The sequence below is a fragment of the Homo sapiens genome, chromosome 2 (assembly GCF_000001405.40).
Source record: "Homo sapiens chromosome 2, GRCh38.p14 Primary Assembly".
NCBI lineage: Eukaryota > Metazoa > Chordata > Mammalia > Primates > Hominidae > Homo > Homo sapiens.
The window spans coordinates 4,825,913-4,828,383 of NC_000002.12; the positions used below are offsets into that span (position 1 = coordinate 4,825,913).

The window sequence follows — 2,471 nt, forward strand, 5'->3', positions numbered from 1 at the left end:
TATGCCCATAAATTTAAGATGACTCAAGATTCCTACCTGGGGCAAATTGCAACTTCTCTTTAAGGTTTAATCTTCATATCTGGAAAAAAAGGTAGTTCAAATTGAATAGTTTAATATTACAATTCTTTACAATTCTAAATACTCTTCAGGGTAAATTTTCATGATCTGGTTTTATAGTCCTTGGTTTTTAGGCACTGCATTAAGCATTGGCGTAGGTGAGGATTGAATAAATGTAAAAAACATACTGTAAGGATTATTAAAATTACTTATGTGAACATGTTTATCTAGTGAGCTATAAAGTGAGAAACTGAGGGATTTGCATTGATACATTATATAGTTATTTGCCTCTCTTTCCCTTAATTTCTGAGATATTTACAGTTTAATCTGTGACCTGTGACCCAAATCTTTGGTCCTGGTGTGGAAACTAGTAGTATTCACTTGGTGTATCAAACTTATCCTAACTTTTTTTTGCAGCTCAACTGCTTCTTTATTTTATTTGATTTATTTTAGCAAGCTCTCCACTCTGTAAAATTCATTTGTAAAAACGAATGAATCACGCCACTGTAAATACATCATTGATGACTAAATATGGCCAATCTTATATAGACAATGCAGTTATGTATTTAAAAGTGAAAATGGACGATGCTTCCTAATTCAGTAAGTGCTTTCCACATAGAGTGTTGTTTAAAAAAAAAAATCTGCACACTCAAAACTATATTATCTTCTGCTTGTTTAACCAAAAGTATATATCAACCCTGAGTCTGCCAGCAGTATCTTTAACATGGGTCAACTGGTCCCTGGTTGAATCTTTCCATTTTGTAGGGCAGGAATCAGAAGCTTCCGATGGGAAGACAGCCGTTCGCCAACTGGCAGAGGCCGACATCGCTGGCGTCCTGATTCATTTCATGTTGGAGCACAGACTCTTGCTCCCTGCGAAGTCAGGGAGTGCTTCTGTTACATGCATGTGTGTGACACTGCTCTGTTCCCTCCATCTATCTCCACATGTGTGCAAGTTTGCTGGACTTCATGTTGAAAGTCATGTCGAGGTGGAGTTGCCAACCCTGCTTTTTTTTTTTCTTTTTTTCTGCAGATGCATTCCCCAATTCAATCCCGGCTGCCACAAAGACAGAGAGGAAGTGCAGGGATTTCCCTCTTTTGCATCCCCAGAGCAAACAAAAACAAACAAACAAACAAACAAACAAAAAAAAACAGCAAACTGTCCAAGGTCTATCAGTGGATGCAGGCCAATCCCAGTTTTTAAAGGGTACCTTTAAACACAGAGAGTCTAAGTGACAAAAGAAAAGATTGCCCGTATGGGGGCCTCTAGACTTTCTAAAGAAATGGAAGTAGGAGAGGCTCTTGGATTACCACTAATATTAACATTAATGCATTAAGGAGCCAGAAAATTGCCCTTGAGGGGGATGTAGGCAAATTCTTAGAAAGTACTTTTACACTAGTGATAATTGTCAGAACATTACTTACAATAAAAGCCAGAGTTTCTTCTCTTTCACAAGATAATTCTGAAATGCCACAATGAAATACTTATAGAAAAGCATTACAGAGTAGAAAAAAAAATCCATATTATTGAAGTCTTTATAACCTTACTTATTTCAAAAGAGAAAACAAAGAGAGGGAATCTGTTTTTTTTTTACACTATGCAAATCAGTGTCGTAAGGGTTAGATACAAATAGAATTTTCAATGCAAACCCAGAGCCCCCGGATACAGCATTCTTTATCTCACGTTGACATTCGATTAAATTAGACTGATGCATTTACAGAGTAAATGATCTCCTTGAAGGATGTTCAGCATGCTAACAGTTTGCACTTGAAGTACTAATTGTAACAAACTAACTCATAGTGGCACAGCTATTTGCAAATCTGACCCACAATGGTTTCAAATTCTGACTTTAGAGGGATGATTACTGAAGACTGGTTCTGAGACAATGTACCTGAAGCTCTCTAATTGACATTTCTGGGCATCAGAAAGAAAAATCTGAAGAGATATGCACAAGTTAGTGTGCTTAAACAGTGTGATAAATTGTGTGATTTAGTTCTGCACGTGGAGGAGAATATTCACCTGTGAGTAAGCAGGTAGGCACTGTTCACATTGCAACGGTGTGTGTTGGGCAAGAGGAATAATAAAAACCACAAGATAAGCCCTGCTTTAAAGACACTGATTCACCTGCTGGAGCTGGAAGTTTCAGGTAGAATTAAGTTCCTTCGTCTAGAACAGAATTCAAAACACAGAAAGAAGAGAATAAGAGGGGCTCTTATTAAGAACAAGAGCAACATGTACAGGGCTTAATTAAAGCTACTCAAGGAAGCAGAGAACTAATACAGGCCCTGTCTGATTTTTCAACATCTTTAACCTACCAAATGTCTCTAACATATTATTAAATTACATAATCAGCACACATTCTTTTTGTAAGATCAAGAGCTCATTGCCTTACAAAAGGAACTTGTACTGATTA

The 2,471-nt window shown here is 37.1% G+C and overlaps 1 pseudogene; it reads right to left on the reverse strand.

Annotated features, from left to right (window-relative positions):
- Nucleotides 1-1,088: 1,088 nt before the first annotated feature.
- LOC124900523 (uncharacterized) lies at nt 1,089-1,243 on the reverse strand (annotated as a pseudogene).
- Nucleotides 1,244-2,471: the final 1,228 nt, after the last annotated feature.